The sequence below is a fragment of the Homo sapiens genome, chromosome 8 (genome assembly GCF_000001405.40).
Source record: "Homo sapiens chromosome 8, GRCh38.p14 Primary Assembly".
NCBI lineage: Eukaryota > Metazoa > Chordata > Mammalia > Primates > Hominidae > Homo > Homo sapiens.
In genome coordinates, this window is record NC_000008.11 from 71439405 (window position 1) to 71465429 (window position 26025).

A 26025-nucleotide genomic window follows, 5' to 3' on the forward strand; every position below is an offset into this window, starting at 1 on the left:
AGTTGCAGTTCTAACCTGGGGTTTGACAGTTATGTACTAGTTGGGATGTTGTGCAACCAGCTGGTGTCCCAGGAAGCACCCTAAGAACTGTTAAATGTCTGAGCATGATTATGGGACCTGTACTTTAGGGTAGATTCATATTTTCTAATTCATTCAGTAAACACTCATTGGGCTCCTCCATAATTTCCGCCATTCATGGCATTATTTGGCTTACCATTCATTCTGGTGTTAGCGGCATGGAAATAGAGTTGTAAAGCTTAATGGTCTGGGTCAATCCTTCTCCTAATGATATTAACTCAGTTGCAAGACTGCTCAGTCATTCATTCCACAAACATTCACCAAGCACCTACAGGTACTAAAGGAAGTATGGTAAGTAGAGTTGTGCTTAATCAGCAGTCAGACTCTCAGCTCCTCTACTCAACTAGCTGTGGGACTTAGCTCTGATAATGAACACACACAGACTACAGGGTAATTATGAGCAATAAATGTGTTCAGACACTTAAAACACCTAGACTGCGGCCTGGCATATATTAAATGCTCAATAGGTGTTAGCTATTAACTAACACCTATTAACTAAAAATAATAATTATTTTTAAAGACTAGATAAGCCAAAGCAAAGATGGCTTCTAGAGGTAGAGATACTTGTGTGGGACTTTGACGTGCTAGTGGACGTTTTCTATTAAGGAGAAACAGAAGAAAGTCATCTGAGGCAAATGAAAATAGCCTATGAAAATAATGGAGGTGTGACGCAACACAATTCGGACTGCTCGCTCTGGCTGGAGTCAGAAGATTTGGACGCAGAAGCCAAATCACAAAAGGCCCTATGTGCTAAGCTAACGAGTTTGAGTTTTATATTTAAAGCTATGGACAGCCATTGGCCGGTTTTGTGATAGGGGCATGACATGAGCAGTTTTGTGCTTTAGAAAGATCATTCTGGCAGTAGTGATGGAAAAATCACTTGGAAGCTCTTTGAACGACATGGGCAGGGCTGGTCAAAATAAAGACAAGAGGTGCAATCAAGAGGACGTTAGGAGGAAGTCTTTATATGACTTAACTAATTAGACATGGGAAATGGGTGAGAGAGTACAGGATGACAAAGCTCTAAGACTTGGGCAGCTATGTCAGGATGGCCCATTTTTTGAGATGGGGAAGACCAAACATGCAAAACATTCAGGGATAGAAGTGCTGAGTTCAGGTTCAGAACTACTGGGATCTAAAATGTGGAATATCCAGTGGGTATAAGGTGTCCAGTGGGCATCTGGATATGAACTTGGAGCCCATACGTCAAGTTCCCATTGGAAATATCTACCTGTGTGTCATTAGAGATACAAATTTTTGAATTGTGGGGTTTTAACTTGCAGCTAACAATGGTAAAACAGACAGATAAAGTTGCCCAAGAAGAGAAAGACACTGAGAGAGTGACAGAAAGAAAGAAGAACTAAGTCGATGCAGTGAAAAATCTTATGAAGGTACCTAAAGGTAGAGAGAGAAAAGTAAGGATATCCCCCTATGGACACACATATGCTTAAGAAGAAATCCACCTAAATCTGTATGTGGGCCATTTTACAGAGCAAATTGTATTGATTATGAAAGTCAAACTTTTTCTGGCATTCATCAAAACCACTGATAAGCACAAAAATAGACCCAAGTATATGTGCACAAAGGAATGAAAAGAAACAAAGGCAATCCCAAGGTTTAGGGATTGAATGATTTGAGAAATTGTAACATAATAGTCATAAACAGGAGATTTCATAAGACATGAACACTGTATATATGCAAACAGAATGACTAATATAGATACACCTATGATCTGCTTTTGAGTCACTTACATAAATAAGACAATTAAAACCACCCCAGTTGACCAGCATGATGGCTGAAGCCTGTAATCCCAGCTACTCAGGAGGCTGAGGTGGGAGAATTGCTTGAGTCCAGGAGTTTGAGGCTGCAGTGAGCTGTGAGCACACCACTGCACTCCAGCCTGAGTGACAGAGTGAAACTCCATCTCAAAAAATCACCAGACAAACAAACCAAAAAAACTCACCCCAACCCCAATCAGACTGGAAGTCTAATTTCTATCTGTCTCCCATAGAAATAAAACTGAAATACCAAATGAGCATTACCAAGACTAATGCTAGAATAGCCCTACTGAAGCTTTCAAGCAACATAGTATGGTATATAAAAATAAAGAATATTGGTTCATAAATTGGACATTTCTTGATTCAAAACCCAGTTTCTCTACTTGTTAACTATGGGATGATGGACAAGTAAATGCATTTGTTCATATCCCTGTTTTTAAATATTTAATGAGGTATAATAATATAGCTTTTATGGATTTAATATTTGTGGTTTTCTCAAAATTTGTACATTATAACTTTAATCTCCAGTGCAATGGTATTTAGAAGTGGGGTCTTTGGGAGATAATTAGATTACGTCATGAGGTCAGGGCCCTCATTATGGAATTAATTCGCTTATAAAAAAGAAAAAGAGACATGAGATATCTCTGTTTCTGAGAACACACACCTAGGAAAGGCCATGGGAGGATACAGTGAGAAGACAGCTATCTACAAGCACAGAAGCAGGTCCTCACCAGACACCAATCTGCCTGCACCTTGATCTTGAACTTGCCAGCTTCCGGAACTGTCAGAAATAAATTTCTGCTGCTTAAGCCACCTAGTTTATGGTATTTTGTTATAATAGTCTAAGAAGACTAAGATAATATCCCACTTATAAGTTGTGAATGAGGACAAAGTTAGATAAACTAATAGTTAATAGTTATTTAGTTCTTAGTATAAGTAAGGCAATGCACTAAACTCTTCACCCATAACATCTCTTTTAATTCTTCCAATAGCTCTCTGAGGACTGGACTGAACCATTAATCAATGGGTCCTGTGGGAAGTGGATCTTTTCTTTTCAAGACATTTGAATCTGGAGGCAAGTGAACTGCTTCTTAGAAAACAAGATTCCTAGATAATGGAATCTTATTTCTTGTTTGTATATGCTGTCATAACATTTATGCATGTGCCCTTCTCCAAGTTGAACTAGAAAGTATCTCAGCCTGTAACTCAGAAATCCATAAGCTGTAGGCAGTTTCTGATTCCGCTTCATCTCAGGATGACTATAATATAATGTGGGTCAATTAACAGACAGTTGTATTGATTCTGAAAGTCAAACTTTTTCTGGCATCCATCAAAACTTCTGAATTTGCAGATTCTCAATTTATGTTCTATTGAGCATGAACTTAGGTATTATGGCAGGTACTTTGCTATGGGTTTCATATGCATTAACTCAATTCGTCTTTATAATACCACTATGTGTTGATGTTACTACCATAACGATTTACAAACAAGCAAACTGAGATACTTGAGCTTACTTGACCAAAATCACAGAGTTAATACACACAGTGGGAACATGTGTCCCCTATTTATCATGTCCTGGTCAATACTGAAGTCATAACATTTTATCTCTGATATACTTTTCTTTATGTGTATTACAGGTCACTTTTTATTTTCCCATGATTTACACTCACAACAAAATGAGAACTATTACAGGACTCTATTACATACTCTCAACTAATGAGAATTAATACACCATACAGCAAACATTATCAACAAACTGGCTATCAACAAGACTATTTTAGAAGCACTACTTATAGCAGAATCTGCAACACACAGAGAAAAAACAACAGAAGAATGTCATGGCTAGGTATTAAAACACAAGTTCGAGAAAATGGTCCAGGACAGAAAGATAATGATGAATAACCCACTGCCTCTCCACCCCAATATCCCAATATTATGTGGAGTGGGATGATTGGTCAACAGTTCTACAATGTCTAGCTGGAAAAAAATCTATGGCAGAGACAGATTAGGATTTCAGAGATTTGAAGAAAATGGATTTTTTTGGCGGGGGGGATAGAGTCTTGCTCTGTTGCCCAGGCTGGAGCGCAGTGGCACAATCTTGGCTCACTGCAACCTCTGCCTCCCAGATTCAAGCAATTATTGTGCCTTAGCCACTTGGGTAAAGCACGTGCCATCACGCCTGGCTAATTTTTGTATTTTCAGTAGAGACAGGGTTTCGCTATGTTGGCCAGGATGGTCTTGAACCCCTGGCTTCGGGTGATCCACCCTCCTTGGCCTCCCAAAGTGCTGGGATTACAGGCAGAATTATTTTTAATACCTAATCTGCATCTACAAGAGGACAGTGCTATAATGACTATACACAGGCCTCTACAACACTGATTCAAAGAAAACTCACATTTCCAAGAGTAATTCTCTCACACCCACTCCCCATATTACATTGGCCTTGCATATTTAGTGTTTGCCCTGACATGCCACTGAATGATATTACTGTAAGCCCAGTTGGGTCCACCCTTAAAGCCTCCAACTTCTGAGACCCTTGGTAGAAGATATCTTAACATGTAATTTAAGTTTTGCCCTTATGCAAAACAGAATTTTAAATAACATTAGGAAAGCTAAAGTGTTAGTGAGCAAGCAGACAGCTTTCTAAAGCATTTCTACAAATACCAATGAACTTAACTATCTGTTTTCTCTAGAAAGGCCAGACACATAATAATTTGAGGTCAAAATCTTCTGTGATCTGGATTCCTGAATATGTGACACCACTGTTTCCTATAAAGATCTACCGACTGAGTGAATGGTTGGTTTGCCACAGCCATTTGTTCCTAAGAAGAAGTATAAATCATATTTGTGTTTATTTACCCACCTATGCACAGATAACCTCTATCCAATTAATTTACTGCAACTTAGGTGACCAGTGTACATAAAATGAGTTCTTCTCAAAGCCGGAAAACAAGACCCAATATTCCTTTCTAACAAAGCAAAAGTGGTTCATGACCAGGATAAGTCAGAATTGAATCTTAACATGAGTAAAAGTGGGCACTCACTCTTCTAAAGAAAGACATGTGGGGACACAGATATAGAAAAGACAGCAACAAGAAGATTCATTCTAGGGCTTTCAGAAAGCGGAACCACAAATGAAGTTATTGTTTGGCAGGAACAGAACACTAGACCATAGATTGAAAGGGGGCAGAGATGGTGACCTAGAAAGGTTTTAAGTGGATAGATTTTTGGCACTAAAAATGTAGCAGACAGTATTGAGGATTTAGTCAACTAAGTCAAATTAAGATGTAAGGACAGGAGATGCTGCCACTCAGGGCTCATCTTAGGTTGGAATGATTTGGTACCAGGATGAGAGGAGCACTAACTTGGTACGAGGTGACTGAGCATCCGTATGTACTTCTTGCATACAGCAGGTATCTGATATAACACCAAGCCTACACTGAGGGGTTAGAATTAGCCAGAATTTTATATCTGAACTTATAAACATATAAAGGGACCACACTCCTAACCACTGAAGTTGGATTTGAACTGTCTACACCATCGACCAGATTTCACTTCGTGGGAGGTAGTGATATTAAAACTATCTTTAGAAAAATATTCCTCAAGATGGCCATTACCAACCTATTTGTGGAAACTATGCAGTTTTAAATGAAATCCTAAAATGTAATATTTTTTTCCAACAGCTAGAGATGTTAATTCAAACCATGTGTGAAATTGGAGAGAAGTGGAACTCAAATCAGACCCTATCAAAAAACTCTCTGAGTTTTCACAAGATAATTTGCCCAATTTTTTTACATTGCCACTAGTAGAATACCTTTTGTATTGCTTTATGTTATGTTATTTTATTTTATTTTTTAGTGTGTATGTGTGCTTTGAGAAATTTTGAATCTGCTTCTAGAGTTTGGCTGAGTTCAGCTGTTAAAAATTTACCTTCGTCATCCATCCTCATTCTTTTTAAAACTCCCATTCCATATTACCTCTTTTACTACTATTACTATACTGAATGAGTTTTTCTAGCAAAGAGATTGGATTTTATACTTTCACTAGTGATTTAATAGAAGTTGAAATTGGTAGCTGAAATGGAGACTTTAGAGTAACAGATAATCAAAGACTATCTATCCAATAATTATTTTATTATTTTGAATAAAAACTATCGGTTAAGTAAAATGCAAAAGTAGACTTACCTTTAGTGTATCCTGAAGACAAAATAACATTTTTGTCTGGCTTGATACCTAGTGACAATAGGAATGTAAGCAATAGGAACTGATTTTTTAAAAGTAATGTTATTAATATTATTTAGGATCTCACTTTCTATATGTGTATTTCATATTGGGACTTTGATTTGTGTTGTCTTCACAAATCATTCCAAACTTTTTTGTTTTGTTTTGTTTTTTGAGACTGAGTCTCACTCTGTCGCCCAGGCTGGAGTGTGCAGTGGCACGATCTCGGCTCACTGCCAGCTCCGCCTCCCGGGTTCACACCATTCTCCTGCCTCAGCCTACTGAGTAGCTGGGACTACAGGCACCCACCACCACGCCCACCTCGGCCTCCCAAAGTGTTGGGATTACAGGTGTGAGCCACCACGCCTGGCTCATTCTAAACTTTTCATAAATTAACAAAGGTATGAGTTATACAGGACTTTGTCTTACATCGTAACCTCCTTTCTACTCTTATTTGGCTCACTTCTTCTCTAGAATAATAAACTAGGAGACTACAGTTGATTGAAACAAATAAGCCTGAACTATGCCAGTTTCAGACATAAGGACTTGGTAAATATATATATTTTTAAAACATTTGGCTTTATTTATGAAAAGCCTTCAGAACTGTATGAAACATTTAAATACATATTTTGCAATATTATTTATTGAACATTCACATGCCCTCAAGTTCAAATTATTTTTAAAACACCATTGATATGCTTTGGTTGTGTTCCCACCCAAATCTCATCTTGAATTATAATCTCCATAATCCCCAGGTGTTGAGGGCGGGTCCTGGTAGGAGGTAATTGTATCATGGGGGTGGTTTCCCCCATGATGTTCTCATGATAGTGAGTGAGTGCTCATGAGACCTGATGGTTTTATGAGTTTGACAGTTCCGCCTTCACACGCTCACTATCTCCTGCTGTGAAGAAGGTGACTGCTTCCCCTTCTGCCATGTAAGTTTCCTGAGGCCCCCCAAGCCATGCAGAACTGTGAGTCAATTAAATCTCCTCTGTTTAAAATTACCCAGTCCTGGGTAGTATCTTCATAGCAGTGCGAAAATGGACTATTACAACCATAATATCCGTTACCTCAAGAAATTCCACTATTGAAGCATATGATGATAAAAATTTTGCTTTGTATTTCTTGTTGAGTTGCAAATTTCAATAAGAAGACAAGTGAACAGCAATTCACACTTGGCATAAATGTTAAAAATCATCTTTTGAATTATTGCAACAGCTGTTATTTTCAGGATTGGTAGTTATTTCTGGTTGCACCTCTGCAACTCAGATCTGCCTAATGTCTTTGGCCATTAGGTTCAGAGTGAACCACTGCAGTTATGATTGATCTTAGCATTACTGTCTATTTGTCTGAGACTTTCAGAAGTTGAAAGCAATGCTAAAATATTTCACATTATAATTTACTAGGTCTTTATAAAATGCTCCTGCCCATATTACTTGTGGCTTATCTTAAAGTAGCAGCTTAGTTATCCTGCAATCTCAATTAACAGGCACTGAGCAACCACTATATGTCCAGCAAAACTAAAAAAATGCCAAGTAGCTCCTACATTGCTTTGAAGTTAGCGGAACTGTCATGCTCTGAAATCTCATTATTGATAATCTTTATATATATATATATATATATAAAATTAGTGATGGGCCCAACTTTTATGCTTCCTCCATCAAAAAAGACAATAACTCTCTTTATCTTTTATCACTCACCCCAGACCTTCCTCCTCTTTGGGGTCTTCAGCTTTCTCAACTTTTAATCAATCCAAATACATCTTGCCTTAGACTTCTACTAAATGGCTACCTATCACCATTCCTAATCTATTTTTTTTAAGTCTGAAATATAGGCATTGGTAAAGTCTGCAAAAGGCCAGAACTACCTCTTCAAAAGCCTTCTCCACGTATGCTCCAGGAATCTCAGATATCTAATCTTTTCATTAGTGCTACTTACTTCACAATGACTGACATTACCACACAGTAGAACAGCATTTATTCTCAACCATCCCTAGTTGTTTGCACCTCTAAACTTTTCAGATTGATGTTTTGTGCAGTTCATATTTATTTTAAAATTTCTATCTAATTATATTGATTTAAGTTTTGATAATTCATTGCCACTGAATGCTAATACAGGCATATTTCAGAAATAGTGAAAATTTGATTCCAGATCACAGCAATAAAAGTGAATATTGCAATAAAGCAAGTCACACAAAATTTTTTGTTTCCCAATGCATATAAAAGTTAACACTGTAGTCTATTAAGTTTGTAAAAGCATTATGTCTAATAATACAATGTACACACCTCAATTAAAAATACTTTATTTCTAAAAAGTGCAAATAACTATCTGATCATTCAGCAAGTCTTTTGGCTGTGAAGTCTTGCCCCAATGTTGATGGCTACTGACTGATCAGGATGGAGGTTGCTGAAGGTTGGGATGGCTGTGGCAATTCCTTAAAATAAGACAACAATAAAGTTTGCCATATCAATTGACTCTTCCTTTCCAAAAGATTTCTCTGTAGCATGGAATGCAAAGCTGTTTAAGAGCTTTTTTTTTTTTTTTTTCTCGCTCCGTTGCCCAGGCTGCAGTGCGGTGGCATGATCTTGGCTCACTGCAACCTACGCCTTCCAGGTTCAAACTATTCTCCGCCTCAGCCTCCCTAGCAGCTGGTACTACAGGCACATGCTACCATGCCTGGCTAATTTTTTGTATTTAAGAGCCTTTCATGCACAATAGGACTTCTCGCAAAATTAAAGACAATCTTCTCAAACCTGCCTCTGTTTTCTCAACTAGGCTGATGTAATATTCTAAATACTTTGCTGTCATTTCAATAATGTTCATGGCATCTTCAATAAGAGTGGATTCCCTCTCAAGAAACCACTTTCTTGGCTCATCCATAAGAAGCAACTCCTCATCTGTTCAAATTTTATCGTAAGATTGTAGCAACTCAGTCACATCTTGAGGATCCACTCTAATTCTATTTCTCTTCCTATTTCCACTACATTCGCAGTTACTTCCTCCCCTGAAGTCTTGAACTCCTCCAACTTACCCATGGAGGGCTGGAATCAGCTTTTCCCAAACTCCTGTTAATGTTTATATTTTGATCTCCTAGGGATCACAAATGTTCTTAATGGCATCTAGAACAGTGAATGCTGTCCAGATGGTTTTCAGTGTACTTTGCCTAGATGCATCAGAGGAATCATTATCTATGGCAGCTATAGCCTTGTGAAAAATAGTTTTTAAAAATTTTTCCAGGCTATTTAATCAAGTTACCTACAACGTTCACATTCCTGAGTATACTCTATTGAGGTGACATCATTTGTTTTGGAATTTTTCTACATTCCACTTAAAAAGTGTTTCCTTTCCTAAGAAACTGAACTTTTCTGTCAAATGCATATGATCAAATAGGAGAACTGGGTTCATAAAATGGATTCATTGCAAACTTTATGTGTAAATGCTAAACATCAGTAAAGTAGTTCTTTATTCTATCTTCTTGCCTTATGTCATGAAGCATAATAAAAAAATGTATGTGCCCTGGAGTTACGAATGCCGACAGAAAACACTTGTTGCACTTGTCCACAGTTTTCAAGTACGTGTTTTTCGACAGCCACATGTTATCTATGAGGTTGCAAACAGCATGAGCTATGGGTAATGACGGTTGTCTTTGGATTCTACTTTCCTAGCTGGGAAAAAACTCCATTTCAAAAACTGGATTATCATTGTGGCCACTAATTACCAAGTGGAAGCTTCCAGACATTGTCTTCAATATATGGCTCCTGCAGTGAGACAACATCGTAACAAAGTCAGTTCCCACAACCAAGACTCACACTTGGTGTATTCAGCCAATAACAAGACTTGAAAGTTGAAATTACTCCTTGATCCACGGGCTGCAGAATGGAAGCTGTGTTGGCAGGCATGAAAACAACAGTAATCTCCTTGTACATCTCCACCAGAGCTCTTGAGTGACTGGGAGCATTTCAATGAACAGTAATTTTTGTTTTAGAAAAAGGGAATCTTTTTTCCTGAGCAGTAGATCTCAACACTGGGCTTAAAATATTTAAAAAACCAAGCTATGGACAGATGTTTTATCATCTAGGCTTTATTGTTCCATTTATAGACAGCACAGGCAGTGCAGATTTAGCATCATCCTTGAGAGCCCTGAGATTTTCAGAATAGGAAATGAACAATGGATTCAACTTAAACTCACTGGCTGCATCAGCCCCTAACCAGAGAGTCAGCCTGACCTTTGAAGCTTTGAAACCAGGCATTGACTTCTCTTTAGCTGTGAAAGTCCTGGATGGCATCTTCTTCCACAGGAAGACTTTTGTTTATATTGAAACTCTGTTGTTTAGTGTAGGCATCTTCATCAATGATCTTAGCCAGATCTTCTGGAAACTTGCTGCAGAAGTTCTGGAAACTTACTGCATCTTCTGCTGAGTGCTTGCTTCATCCTACATTTTTATGTTAACCTCAGGAACCAATGTCTGTTAGCTTCAAACTTTTCTTCTACAGTTTCCTCACCTCTGCCAGTCTTCAGATAATTGAAGAGAGTTAGGGCCTTGTTCTAGAGTAGACTTTGGCTTAAGGGAATGTTGTAGCTAGTTTGATTTTCTACCCAGACCACTACAACTCTCTCCATATCAGCAATAGGCTCTTTTGTTTTCTTATCATTCATGGGTTCACTGAAGTAACACTTGTAATTTACTTCAAGGACTTTTCTTTTGAATTAACAACTTGGCTAACCATTTGGCACAAGAGGCCTACTTTTGGCCTGTCTTAGTTTTCAACATGCTTTCCTCATTAAGCTAAATCATTCCTAGCTTTTGACTAAAAGTGAAAGGCGTGTGGCTCTCCTTTCAGTTGAACACTTAGAGGCCATTGTAGGGTTATTAACAGACCTAATTTGACTATTGTTGTGTCTCAGGGAATAGGGAGGCCTGAGGAAAGCAAGGAAGATGGGAGAGCGGGTGGTAAGTGGAGAAGTCAGAACACATACATTTATCAATTAAGTTCATCGTCTTATATGGGCATGGTTTGTGGTGCCCCAGAACCTTTACAATCAGAGATCAAAAATTACAGATTATCATAACAGATACAATAATTATGAGAATGACTGAAATATCAGAAGAATTAACAAAATGTCACACTGAAACACAAAGGGAGCATGTGCTGTTGGGAAAATGGCACCAATAGACTAGCTTGAGGCAGGCTTGCCACAAACCTTCTATTCATAAAAACTGTACTATCTGCAAAGCACAATAAAGCAGGTGCAATAAAATGAGGTATTCCTGTATATAAAAAGGGAACAAGAAAGATGCCCAAAGATTACCTTAACAGGATAGAGACTGCAATCTGTGGATACTGGAATTAGCCAAAATTATAACCATAAATGCATGGGCTAAAATGGAATTACATTTCTATAATGCTTTTAACTTCCGTAAAATGACTTCACAAGTAAGCAAAGATTATGAACTACTAAAAACATGCAAAAGAAGAAATGCAAACAGCTAGCAAACACGAATAAACATTCATTCACATTAATTATCAGAGAAATGCACACTACGATACTATTATCACCCATTAAATTGTGAAGGATTTAGATCATATTTTGAATGTTGTGAGGGTACAATGTAATTATACATATTTTTATTCAATGCTGATGGGAATATAAACTGGTAGATTGTCCTGGAAAATGATTTGGCACTATGTATGAAAAGGCTTTCAAAGGGCACATGATTTTGGACTTAGTAACCACACTTCTGGAATAATTCCTAATGTACACATGTTCATCATCACAGCAATAAGTATAGAAAAACAAATATGGAACAAACAAAATATATAAACAGAAGAATATTTTTTAAAAATTTTCTGTGAATGGATTAAATATTATACTGTCAATTAAAATTATATCTTCAGAAACTATTGGAGAAAATATCATACAGTAAATAAAGAATAAGAGCAGAATATGAAACTATCTATGATATGAGACAAATTTGTAAATTGTACATGTACACACACAATGCCAGAAAGAAATATATGAAATATATGAAATACCAATCTGGTTATAGGTTTATGGGGAATTATTTTTGTTTTTTCAAATTTTCTTATTTATTATCCTCATAATCAAGGTTCTTCTTTAAAACTATTTTTACATATCTTTACCTTTACCACAGAAGGTCATAATTATGTGGTTCCTCTTCTGAAAACCTATCAGTTGGTGAAATGAACATATCTTCATTAATTACCTTTTCTGATTTATGAAATTTTTAGTCTTCCAATATCAAGTCACAAGAGATCATTTCATCAAGACTTAGCATATGCAGGTGTGGTTCCAAGATGGCCAACTAGGAACAGCTCCAGTCTACAGCTCCCAGTGTGAGCGACGCAGAAGACGGGTGATTTCTGCATTTCCAACTGAGGTATCAGGTTCATCTCACTGGGGCTCATCGGACAGTGGGTGCAGGACTGTGGGTGCAGCCCACCGAGCTTGAGCCAAAGCAGGGTGAGGCATCGCCTCACCTGGGAAGTGCAAGGGGTCAGGGAATTCCCTTTCCTAGCCAAGGGAAGCTGTGACAGACGGCACCTGGAAAATCAGGTCACTCCCACCCTAATACTGCACTTCTCCAATGGCCTTAGCAAATGGCACACCAGGAGATTATATCCCACGCATGGCTTGGAGGGTCCCACACCCACAGAGCCTCACTCATTGCTAGCACAGCAGTCTGAGATCCAACTGCAAGGCAGCGGCAAGGCTGGGGAAGGGGCGCCCGCCATTGCTGAGGCTTGAGTAGGTAAACAAAGTGGCCAAGAAGCTTGAACTGGGTGGAGTCCACCACAGCTCAAGGAGGCCTGCCTGCCTCTGTAGACTCCACCTCTGGGGGCAGGGCATAGCTGGACAAAAGGCAGCAGAAACCTCTGCAGACTTAAATGTCCCTGTCTAATAGCTTTGAAGAGAGTAGTGGTTCTCCCAGCACGGAGTTTGAGATCTGAGAATGGACAGACTGCCTCCTCAAGTGGGTCTCTGACTCCCAAGTACCCTAACTGGGAGGCACCCCCCAGTAGGGGCAGACTGACACCTCACACGACTGGGTACCCCTCTGAGATGAAGCTTCCAGAGGAACGATCAGGCAGCAACAGTTGATGTTCAGCAATATTCGCTGTTCTGCAGCCTCCGCTGCTGATACCCAGGCAAACAGGGTCTGGAGTGGACCTCCAGCAAACTCCAATAGACCTGCAGCTGAGGGTCCTAAATGTTAGAAGGAAAACTAACAAACAGAAAGGACATCCACACCAAAACCCAATTTGCACGTCACCATCATCAAAGACCAAAGGTAGATAAAACCACAAAGATCGGGAAAAAAACAGAGCAGAAAAGCTGAAAATTCTAAATTCAGAGTGCCTCTCCCCCTCCAAAGGAATGCAGCTCCTTGCCAGCAACGGAACAAAGCTGGATGGAGAATGACTTTGACAAGTTGAGAGAAGAAGGCTTCAGACAATCAAACTTCTCTGAGCTAAAGGAGGAAGTACAAACTCATCATAAAGAAGCTAAAAAACCTTGAAAAAAGATTAGGTGAATGGCTAACTAGAATAACCAGTGTAAAGAAGTCCTTAAATGGCCTGATGGAGCTGAAAACCATGGCACAAGAACTACGTGACGAATGCACAAGCTTCAGTAGATGATTCCATCAACTGGAAGAAAGGGTATCAGTGATTGAAGATCAAATGAATGAAATGAAGTGAGAAGAGAACTTTAGAGAAAAAGGAGTAAAAAGAAAAGAACAAAGCCTCCAATAAATATGAGACTATGTGAAAACACCAACTCTACGTCTAATTGGTGAGCCTGATAGTGACGGGGAGAATGGAACCAAGTTGGAAAACACTCTGCAGGATATTATCCAGGAGAACTTCCCCAGCCTAGCAAGGCAGGCCAACATTCAAATTCAGGAAATACAGAGAACGCCACAAAGATACTCCTTGAGAAGAGCAACTCCAATACACATAATTGTCAGATTCATCAAAGTTGAAATGAAGGAAAAAATGTTAAGGGCAGGCAGAAAGAAAGGTAGGATTACCCACGAAGGGAAGCCCATCAGACTAACAGCTGATCTCTTGGCAGAAACTCTACAAGCCAGAAGAGAATGGGGGCCAATATTCAACATTCTTAAACAAAAGAATTTTCAACCCAGAATTTCATATCCAGCCAAACTAAGCTTCATAAGTGAAGGAGAAATAAAATCCTTTATGGACAAGCAAATGCTGAGAGACTTTGTCACCACCAGACCTGCCCTACAAGCGCTCCTGAAGGAAACACTAAACATGGAAAGGAACAACAGGTACGAGCCACTGCAAAAATATGCCGAATTGTAAAGACCATCGATGCTAGGAAGAAGCTGCATCAACTAATGAGCAAAATAACCAGCTAACATCATAATGACAGGATCAAGTTCACACATAACAATATTACCCTTAAATGTAGATGGGCTAAATGCTCCAATTAAAAGACACAGACTGGCAAATTGGATAAAGAGTCGAGACCCATCAGTGTGCTGTATTCAGGAAACCCATCTCACATGCAGAGACACACATAGGCTCAAAATAAAGGGATGAAGGAAGATCTGCCAAGAACATGGAAAACAAAAAAAAGCAGGGGTTACAATCCTAGTCTCTGATAAAACAGACTTTAAACCAACAAAGATCAAAAGAGACAAAGAAGGCCATTACATAATGGTAATGGGATCAATTCAACAAGAAAAGCTAACTATGCTAAATATATATGCACTCAATACAGGAGCACCCAGATTCATAAAGCAAGCTGTTAGAGACCAATAAAGAGACTTAGTCTCCCACACAATAATAATGGGAGACTTTAGCACCCCACTGTCAACATTAGACAGATCAATGAGACAGAATGTTAACAAGGATATCCAGGAATTGAACTCAGTTCTGCACCAAGCGGACTTAATAGACATCTACAGAACTCTCCACCAAATCAACAGGTTATACATTCTTCTCAGCACCACATCACACTTATTCCAAAATTGACCACGAAGTTGGAAGTAAAGCACCCCTCTGCAAATGTAAAAGAACAGAAATTATAACAAACTGTCTCTCAGACCACAGTGCAATCAAACTAGAACTCAGGGTTAAGAAACTCACTAAAAACCGCTCAACTACATGGAAACAGAACAACCTGCTCCTGAATGACTACTGGGTACATACTGAAATGAAGGCAGAAATACAGATTTTCTTTGAAACCAATGAGAACAAAGACACAACATACCAGAATCTCTGGGACACATTCAAAGCAGTGTGTAGAGGGAAATTTACAGCACTAAATGCCCACAAAAGAAAGCAGGAGAGATCTAAAATTGACACTGTGACATCACAATTAAAAGAACTAGAGAAGCAAGAGCAAACACATTCAAAAGCTAGCAGAAGGCAAGAAATAACTAAGATCAGAGCAGAACTGAACGAGATAGAGACACAAAAAATCAGTGAATCCAGGAGCTGGTTTTTTGAAAAGATCAACAAAATTGACAGACTGCTAGCAAAACTAATAAAGAAGAAAAGAGAGAAGCATCAAAAAGACACAATAAAAACTGATAAAGGGGATATCACCACTGATCCACAGAAATACAAACTACCATAAGAGAATACTATAAATACCTCTACACAAATAAACTAGAAAATCTAGAAGAAATGGATAAATTCCTTGACACATACACCCCACAAGACTACACCAGGAAGAAGTTGAATCGCTGAATAGACCAATAAGAGGTTCTTAAATTGAGGCAATCATTAATAGCCTACCAACCAAAAAAAAAGTCCAGGACCAGACAGATTCACTGCCGAATTCTACCAGAGGTACAAGGAGGAGCTGGTACCATTCCTTCTGAAACTATTCCAATCAATAGGAAAAGAGGGAATCCTCCCTAACTCATTTTATGAGGCCAGCATTACCCTGATACCAAAGTCTGGCAGAGACACAACAAAAAAAGAGAATTTTAGACCAATACCCCTGATGAACATCAATGCAAAAATCCTCAATAAAATACTGGGGAACCGAATCCAGCAGCACATCAAAAGGCTTATCCACGATGATCAAGTGGGCTTCATCCCTGGGATGCAAGGCTGGTTCAATACACAGAAATCAATAAATATAATCCAGCATATAAACAGAATCAAAGACAAAAACCACATGATTATTCAACATATGCAGAAAAGGCCTTCGACAAAATTCAACAGCCTTCCTGCTAAAAACTCTCAATAAATTCAGTATTGATGGGATGGATCTCAAAATAATAAGAGCTATTTATGACAAACCCATAGCTGATGTCATACTGAATGGGCAAAAACTGGAAGCATTCCCTTTGAAAACTGGCACAAGACAGGGATGCCCTGTCTCACCACTCCTATTCAACATAGTGTTGGAAGTTCTGCCCAGGGCAATCAGGCAGGAGAAAGAAATGAAGGGTATTCAATTAGGAAAAGAGGAAGTCAAATTGTCCCTGTTTGCAGATGACATGATTGTATATGTAGAAAACCCCATTATCTCAGCCCAAAATCTCTTTAAGCTGATAAGCAACTTCAGCAAAGTCTCAGGATACAAAATCAATGTGCAAAAATCACAATCATTCTTATACACCAATAACAGACAAACAGAGAGCCAAATCATGAGTGAACTCCCATTCACAATTGCTTCAAAGAGAATCAAATACCTAGGAATCCAACTTACAAGGGATGTGAAGGACCTCTTCAAGGAGAACTACAAACCACTGCTCAACAAAATAAAAGAGGACACAAACAAATGGAAGAACATTCCATGCTCATGGATAGGAAGAATCAATATCGTGAAAATGGCCATACTGCCAAGGTAATTTATAGATTTAATGTCATCCCCATCAAGCTACCAATGACTTTCTTCACAGAATTGGAAAAAACTACCTTAAAGTTCATATGGAACCAAAAAAGAGTCCGCATTGCCAAGTCAATCCTAAGCCAAAAGAACAAAGCTGGAGGCATCAAGCTACCTGACTTCAAACTATACTACAAGGCTACAGTAACCAAAACAGCATGCTACTGGTACCAAAACAGAGATATAGATCAATGGAACAGAACAGAGCCCTCAGAAATAATATCACACCATCTACAACCATGTGATCTTTGACAAACCTGAAAAAAAAACAAGAAATGGGGAAAGGATTCCCTATTTAATAAATGGTGCTGGGAAAACTGGCTAGCCATATGTAGGAAGCTGAAACTGGATCCCTTCCTTATGTCTTATACAAAAATTAATTCAAGATGGATTAAAGACTTAAAGGTTTGACCTAAAACCATAAAAACCCTAGAAGAAAACCTAGGCAATACCATTCAGGACTTAGGCATGGGCAAGGACTTCATGTCTAAAACATGAAAAGCAATGGCAACAAAAGCCAAAATTGACAAATGGGATCTAATTAAACTAAAGAGCTTCTGCACAGCAAAAGAAACTACCATCAAAGTGAACAGGCAACCTACAGAATGGGAGAAAATTTTTGCAATCTACTCATCTGACAAAGGGCTAATATCCAGAATCTACAAAGAACTCAAACAAATTTACAAGAAAAAAACAAACAACCCCATCAAAAAGTGGGCAAAGGATATGAACAGACACTTCTCAAAAGAAGACCTTTAGGCAGCCAACAGACACATGAAAAAATGCTCATCATCATTGGCCATCAGAGAAATGCAAATCAAAACCACAATGACATACCATCTCACACCGTCTAGAATGGTGATCATTAAAAAGTCAGGAAACAACAGATGCTGGAGAGGATGTAGAGAAATAGGAACACTTTTACACTGTTGGTGGGAGGGTAAACTAGTTCAACCATTGTGGAAGACAGTGTGGCGATTCCTCAAGGATCTAGAACTAGAAATACCATTTGACCCAGCCATCTCATTACTGGGTATATACCCAAAGGATTATAAATCATGCTGCTATAAAGACACGTGCGCACGTATGTTTATTGTGGCACTTTTCACAACAGCAAAGACTTGGAACCAACCCAAATGTCCATCAATGACAGACTGGATTAAGAAAATGTGGCATATATACACCATGGAATACTATGCAGCCATAAAAAATGATGAGTTCATGTCTTTTATAGGGACATGGATGAAGCTGGAAACCATCATTCTTAGCAAACTATCACAAGGACAAAAAACCAAACACCGCATGTTCTCACTCATAGGTGGGAATTGAACAATGAGAACACTTGGACACAGGAAGGGGAACATCACACACAGGGGCCTGTAGCATTCGGAGATATACCTAATGTAAATGATGAGTTAATGGGTGCAGCACACCAACATGGCACATGTATACATATGTAACAAACCTGCACGTTATGCACATGTACCCTAGAACTTAAGGTATAATAAAAAAAAGAATTAGCATATGCATTAAGGCTACTTTATGTTAAGTTATGGACTTGAGTTTGACTCACCTTACATCTTAATTACAGGCTCCTATTCTGTTAAAGTTCAATTTTTGAGTCAGCATCTAAGTGTACACATACTGTAATTTTCAGGGTAGAGAGAGCGAATATCTTGTTCTGTTTGAATATCTTTATATTTTACTTTGAAAATACAAGAAAAACTAGAGGATATAAACAAAAAAACTTTTAAATATAGAAAATAGAATTTGACTTATATAAGTTGTATACAACCCTGGTTGTACATGGAGTCACCGAAGAACTTTAAGAAACTATTGACTTTAGGTTGAATTCCTAAAACTCTGACTTATATAGTCTGAGGTAAGACATGGATTGGGGAATTTTTGTTTTAAAGTTTCTAAGAATACCAGGTGTTAAGAATTACAGGGGTACTTCCTGAAACATTCATCATTCTTTATTTGGGTCACAATCCTCTGTGTGTATGTAGATTTTTTTTTTCTTTTCACCTACATATCCTTTTTATAATTTTAAGGACTTCTTAGAGTTCATTACCTCACATGGCCAGGGAATGCTTTTTTCATCACCAGCCATATTCTATTAACCACCAAGAACTGTTGAAAATACTACCGAAAAGCCTACTAGGTATTACATAGCTCCAAATACAGCTACTTATAATCTCTTTTATCAGCACAAAATGCATGAAGTTTTTGGTGATGGATTAGATATGGATGATGAAGAAGAAAGCAAGAAAGTGATGTTAAAAGGGACTCCAAGGTTGAGAGCTTAAGCAACTATATTGAAAGTGGAGCCACTCCTGAAGATAAAGAAGAGTGGGGTAGATCAGGCTTACAGGAAGAGCTCCTGAGTCCAATTTTGTACACGTTGAGTTTGAAGTGCTCTTATGACATCCAAATGGAAGATGTTAACGAGGCAATTGGATTCTGCATATACAGCTCAAAGGCAAGAAGAAAATGAATAGAGGGGTTCATCCAAGGGTAGGATTTTCCTGGATGGAAGAAAACACACAGAAATACATACTAAAGAGGGCAGGAGGGTTCTATGACATTGACAAGAGTTTATTACAGTGGCGGCTCATGGTCTTCTAAACTAGATAGGGAGGGAAGGGAGGTTGGGAAGGGACTGGTGTGTATAAAGAAACTGGAGAAACACATTGGCTCACAAGTTTCTACAAAGTTTTCAAGGCAAATTACTAAGATACTTTACACATTTCTCTGACATAACCTTGGACTTCTCCCCACATTCTGCTGTGCTCATTATGGCATGCCCCTTGGTGCCATCTTTATCCATTAAGTGAAATTTGCTGGAGGAATCTCAAAAATCTTGTAGAAGTTGACGGTGGCCAAACTTTTATTTGCGGTTCTCACTTCCATAACTTTAATTTTTGTTTCAATTCCTGCAAAGCCTGTACCTAACTGAATTCTTTTCTCCTCGCTTCATGGGTATACTGGATTTCAAAACACCTCCAGCTGTTTTGTCTTTAAGTTTTGGTGTAATGGGCTATTTAACCTTCCAAACTGGCTGTACTGACCTTCATTCTCTTCATAAACATCAACCTCTGAATGATCCATGAAAGTGCCTTGCTTCTCTTGTCTCCATGTTAACCAAGGTCTACATAAGCTTCTTACTTATACTTTTATTTCTGCTATTTATTTTAAATGAATTTTTCTTAGCATTATTTGCTACTTTTTCAAATGTAAAATATTCTCTTTTCTGAGAGCTTTTTTCTCCTTTTTTATTGTTTTCACCATGTTTATGTTAAATCTTATACTGTTCATCATACTCTGAGAGTAAAAATTAGTTATGTGTTTTTTATTTGTCTTTCCAACACTGCTCTTAATATATTATATATTCCTGGACTCAAATCCTCATTTCTTCAATTATTATTTTTTCTTAGTATGCAAAGATAACTGTCAATTTGCATACCCACTATCTGTTCTTTTTTAGTAAATAAATTAATATTTCAATTAAGCTCATTTTCCAATTTTGTAGTATATTCTAGATTATCAGCATATGAATTCAGAAAAATATCTCTCCTAAGAATTTTCAAAATTGATTTAAGTAATTTTCATCACATATTCCTTTGTTACCTCTGTCATCTACTCGTCAAGTCACACTAAGAGAAGTTCCTTAAACTCTTCATTGAAAAAGCATTTGAACATTTTTTGCGCCCCCAGCATTTGTGATACAGAAGACATTGTTCACATTCTCCAGGTGTTCAATCTAAGATGAAGAGATCTATGTAAACAAGTAATTATAATAATTTGTGATAAAGTTCTGAAATAGCAGTGTGCTCAAATCACCAAATGTGATTCTCAGCACTGGTATCCTGAGAAGCTTGAAAAGAAAAATTTCAACATCCATGGCCTGCCACAGACCAAGCAACTTACACTTCTAGGGAAGTGACCTGAGCATCGGTTTTAAAAGTTTCCAGATGATTCGAATGTGCAGCCTGGATTGTGTTCCTTTCTAGGGGAAAGATACTATAAAGGAGAAGAGAGCACTTATCTTTGTCTGGAGTGGGGAGAATATGAAGGCAAGCTTCTTACAAGGGCCAGTAACAAAAAGTTAGAGCCCATCAGGCTTAGAAGGGCCAGGAGGAGGCACTTCAGACAGGTGGAGAAACTAATTCAACCCAAAGCAAGAAATAACCTAATGAGTAGGTTGTCATGGCTGGGAAGTGGTGGGAAGGAGCAGGGAAGGAAACCACAATGCGAAGACAGGACTTAACCAGGCTCTGAAGTGTTTCAAAAAGTGCACATATTGTCTTATGCAAATGGAAAACCATTGTGGATTCTTCTTCCCTAACGAAAAGTTTCCCAAACACTGCTGCCATAGGACTGTCCCAGAAGAAACTGTTTCTGTAGATATGGGAGAGACTTAGACAGCTCGACTTTAGCAAGCACCCCAGGCAATTCTGGTGATCCTGGAAGTTTGGGAAACACTAATTTAAATAATACAGTCTCTAGAGAATGGGGAAGTAGCTGTAGCGCCTTTGAAGTCTTTGGCTAGAAATCAAAGAACTTGAAAGTTTATATTTTCTGTTAATTACATTGTCTGGTGAAAGCTAGATTTTAGGAAGAACAAACAGCATATGCAAATAAAACAATTGGTTATAAGTATAATGTTGACCAGCACTGTCCAATAGAAATATAATGTGAGTGTATAATCTTGAGGTTTTTATGTAATTTCATGTAATTTTGTTGCAGGATCCTTGAGGTGTTGCTTTTCTGGCCAGAAACCTTTGTGGCCAGTGATTCCTTTGCCCAAGAGGCACCCAAATTTTGCTTAGGCTGCTGGGCTTGCTCTGCCAACTTGGTCTGGTAGGCTGCACCCGGCTCATGCTACTGGCAAGGGGGAGTCATGCATGGAGCGGCAAGGGGTGTGTTAGTGAGCGTGGCGTCTGAACATTGCACAGTCAAACATGCCAGCTGCCATGGTGGGGCAGGCAGCTCCAGGTGCCAGCACTGGTGCTGGCTCTCTGTGAGGCTGTGGCTGGACCAGGCACACCACAAGCAGCTTCCACGGCTAGCAACGGGGTATGTGGTAGCACCCAGAAGCTTGGATATGCCAGGAACCACAGGACCCCAAAGAGGGAATCACAGCCCTGGCTTGAGGAGCTCCCAGGTCTGGGCTCCCTGGAGGGCCACAGCTCTTCTCTCCTTCTCTTTGCCAGCAATGTGGCAAGGAAGGGGCATGTTTCAGCCCTGTTTGTGTTACAACTCTTTTAGCCTCACCATTTGGAGGGTCTCAAATTCTTGTCCTGAGACCAAGAAGAATGAGGTACGCAGACAAGTGGAGGGTGAGCAAGATGAAGAGGATAGAATAGCTCAGAGGAGATCCTGAGGGGGTAGCTCTATTACACAGCCAGGGTGTCCCTCAGGGGGAAGCTCCATTCCCTAGCCAGGGTGTCCTATCAAGTGTTCAGCTCCTAGCAGAGAGAGTAGCTCCTCTCTGCAGACAGGTCATCCCAACAAGTGTTCAGGTCGCAGCAGCCAGGGTAGTTCCTCTCTGCAGCTGGTTGTCCCATCTTCTGTCCAGCTCTGGCTGAGCCTGGGGCCTCAGAGGGGAGGAAGTGCATGCTGCTTGGTTCATGGGTGACCATGGCTGGGCCCAGAAAAGGCACCACAAGTTCCCACTCCAGTCCTCAGGACTGGAAGCCTAGCCCTCAGCCTTCAGGCCCTCCCTGGCCTGAAGGTGGGGCCTCAATGGGGACCCACCGCTTCTGCTCAGGAGCCTGTCTGCCTCCTGCCACCGTCCATGGTGCCCAGGCTGCTGGAGTCAAGGGGTACCTGCAGGCCAGTATTTGAGCTGTCCTCAGCACCCAGTTGGTTTTCCCCACCAGGCTTATCAGTGCCCAATGTCAGGAAGGAGCCAAGGTGGCAGGGGACTGGCGTGCCAGTGCTGCTCCAAGTGTGCACACACCCAGCCGGGCTCAGCTCCAACCCCTCTCCGAGATCGGAGTGGGTGCCAGGAAGAGGGAGAGGCTAGGCAGTGGGAGCAGACAACCACCCCTGAGCCTGCAGGGGAATGGGAGCCTTCCCAGGCCCTCAAGTGTACAGAGGTGCAAAGATGCCCAGGTTCAGTGCCTTGGAGGGCAGGACTCTCACCCGCTCTGTGGAGTGTGCAGGTGGCCCCAGCAGCTCAGCCCAGCCCTAGTGACCCCCAGGGTGGCAGGCTCCGGGGGATTCCTGCTTGTCCCTGGCTCCCACTGGCTCCTGGAGTGCAGTACCACCCCAGGCCCAGCTCTGCCTTCTCCCTGTGCCCTCCAGGCAGCAGTGGTGGGTGAGAGTGGCAACAGGGGGCCAGGGTCTGGAGCGGTAGAGGGTCCAGGCCTAGGGGCAGGTCCTGCCCAGGCATGTGAAAGTGGGGGTGGTGCAGTCAGCTGCCTCAGGGACATGGGGCACAGAGGACCAGCGTCTGCCATTGCTGCTCCCATAGCCACTCCTGGCACCATTGGCTGCACCTCCCCACTGCAGCCAGCGTGATGGCAGCAGCTGCTGTGGATATCCCCGCCACTGCCATCAATTTGAAATTTTTCTAGTAGCCATGTTTTAAAAAGTAACAAAGATGTCAAATTAATTTTAGTAATATATTTTATTGAATCCAAAATACCCCAAATACTACCATTTCAACATATAATTAATATCAAAATTATTAATGAGATATTGTAGACTCTTTTGTGTTTGCAATAGTCTTCAAAATCTGGTGTGTACAGAACATCTCAATTTGGGACTAACCACATTTCACGTGTTCAATAGCCACATGTGGCTAGTGGCTAGCTACTGTATTAGATGGCACAGAGTTAGACTAAAGGTACATGGTTTTCTCATCCACAGTTTCAGAAGCCAAAGTGATGTTCTGTGGTAGTGAATCTCACAAGTACAGAGAGAAATGTGTTCCCCTCCAGAATTACCAATGTGTCTATAGACAATAGAATGGACTGCCTTGTAAACCTGAGTTCATTTTCACTGGACTGCTCCAAACTGTAACTAGACAACCACCCCAGTGAAATGCTGAAGAAAGCTTCATGTATCATGACACAAAAAGCTGGATGAGAAGATCTCTAAGGTTAATTCCAGTCTAATTTTCTATGTCTGATACTGACATTTGAAATCACACATTATGCTTAGGTTATTTCTTAAGAAATACATGCTTTCTCTCTCTCTCTCTCTCTCTCTCTCTCTCTCTCTCTCTCTCTCTCTCTCTCTCTCTCCCTCCCTCCCCCCTCCCACACACACACTCACAGAGTACACATATACACATATATTTACATATACATGTTAGGGTACATCATTTACTTAACTGCAATACATTCTCTAGTTTCCCATTCCTACCGGTCTGCCACAGTTGTCACAGAACCGTTTCAAACATTCCCTTGGACCGTTGCTGAATTCCTGAAGACAACACAGTCTTTAATTGACTTTCCTTTCCTGTTGTCCTCATCCCTAAATGTTTTCCCTCTTTTTGGAGCTTTCTCGCCTTCACATTTTCTTTAGTGTAAAAAACATTCCTCTGTAGAGTTAAAGCTAAAGGAGAGTAAGGACTATGTAAACTGGGATTCAAATTCATCAAATGTGCCTTTTTGGATCATTTCCACTACATTATAATAACAGAACCCACTAAACAGATTTTCCTTAGGTAGTTATTCATGTAACTTTCTACTACCACATCTAAATAATCTTCCTCCAGGTAGTACTCACCCTATTACCCTCCTCAGGCGCTGCTCTCCCCGAGGACTGCATGCTTCCACATCTTCTATTCTCCCTCCTCTTCAAGGGGCCCCTTCCCAAACTTCTCCTATAGCCATTTGCCTCTAAGTGACAAGTTTCACACCAATCTTTGTATCTCAAAAAACTCACTGACTTTTTAGCTACGGATGCCACATTAATGCTTTTCCTCCATGTTCTTACTTGCCTTTAATGACAAATGTGCATTGCAGCTTATGTCTTTCACCTTCTTGCCTTGAAGTACCTTTCTAAGCTGCAAGTCCATTTAAATAGTCTTCATCAGAAACAGCCATCTTCATCGTTTTCCCCATCTGTGCCACTTACACAGGTAAAGGGCACTACTGAGCCAAACTCAACAGGCAATGCAACGGGCCTAGTTGGCCCAATAGATATAGACAGAAAATATTTAGAATACATTGTAATGTTGGCATAATTATGGAATCTTGGTAATAGGTATTAACTACACTACATTAACAATTCTTTATCATCAAAATTTTGTTTAGGGACAATTGCAATACAACTTATTAATATAATTTGAGATTTCTAATCCTCAACTTATTATAAAATGAAGATAGCATAAAATATAAATTATAACCTACATTAATCATTCTTTTAAATTCAATAATAATATGCATTCTACACATACTATTTATCTAAAATTACAAGCCTTGCATTTAAATTTACTTTCAGACTCACTTCCTATTGGTGATCTTGCAAAGGACATGTAGGACATTGCCTATTACATTTCTGAACATTACTGCCTATTTTCAAAACCAAGATTACAACTTCCCCCTGAGTAACATATGATCATTTTTTACTCAGCTTCCACAAATACTAATACGTCTTATTGTAAAATGTATATGTGGAACTCATATAAAGCTTCAAAGAAACTTGAAATGATAAAGCAGAACAATTTCATTTATTTTTCAAATTTTGACAGATGTCTAAATTTAACATCTTTTCACTAAATGATACTTTATTACTGCCCACTTTCTTCAGAAAGGATTGAGGACAAATGTTAAATGATGTTACTCTTAAGACTCTATGTTTATTGCCTCTATACAATTAAATTTAGAATGCAACTGCTGTTGATAATATTAAGGTAAACAAATAGAGCAGAAACCATCTTATACAACGCAAACAAGATTTGTAACTGGCCACGCCATCAAAGAAATTGGTTAAAAGGAAGAAGAGGCCGGGTGTGGTAGCTCACACCTATAATCCCAGCACTTTAGGGGGCTGAGGCAGGAAAATCACTCAAGGCCAGGAGTTCCAGACTAGC

General features: G+C 39.6%; 1 protein-coding gene and 1 pseudogene across 17 annotated transcripts in view, besides 1 other annotated feature; both read right to left on the reverse strand.

Annotated features, from left to right (window-relative positions):
- EYA1 (EYA transcriptional coactivator and phosphatase 1) overlaps nucleotides 1–26025 on the reverse strand; it is a 350662-nt gene that overhangs the window by 241972 nt on the left and 82665 nt on the right. The window lies entirely within an intron of this gene.
- TRAPPC2P2 (trafficking protein particle complex 2 pseudogene 2) lies at nucleotides 9230–9870 on the reverse strand (annotated as a pseudogene).
- Nucleotides 22495–23042: an enhancer, noted in NCBI's record as "H3K27ac-H3K4me1 hESC enhancer chr8:72374134-72374681 (GRCh37/hg19 assembly coordinates)". NCBI's record gives its function as "activates a minimal SCP1, AML or CMV promoter by ChIP-STARR-seq in naive H9 embryonic stem cells {active_cell/tissue: H9 hESC(naive)}" and the evidence as "EXISTENCE:reporter gene assay evidence [ECO:0000049][PMID:30033119]".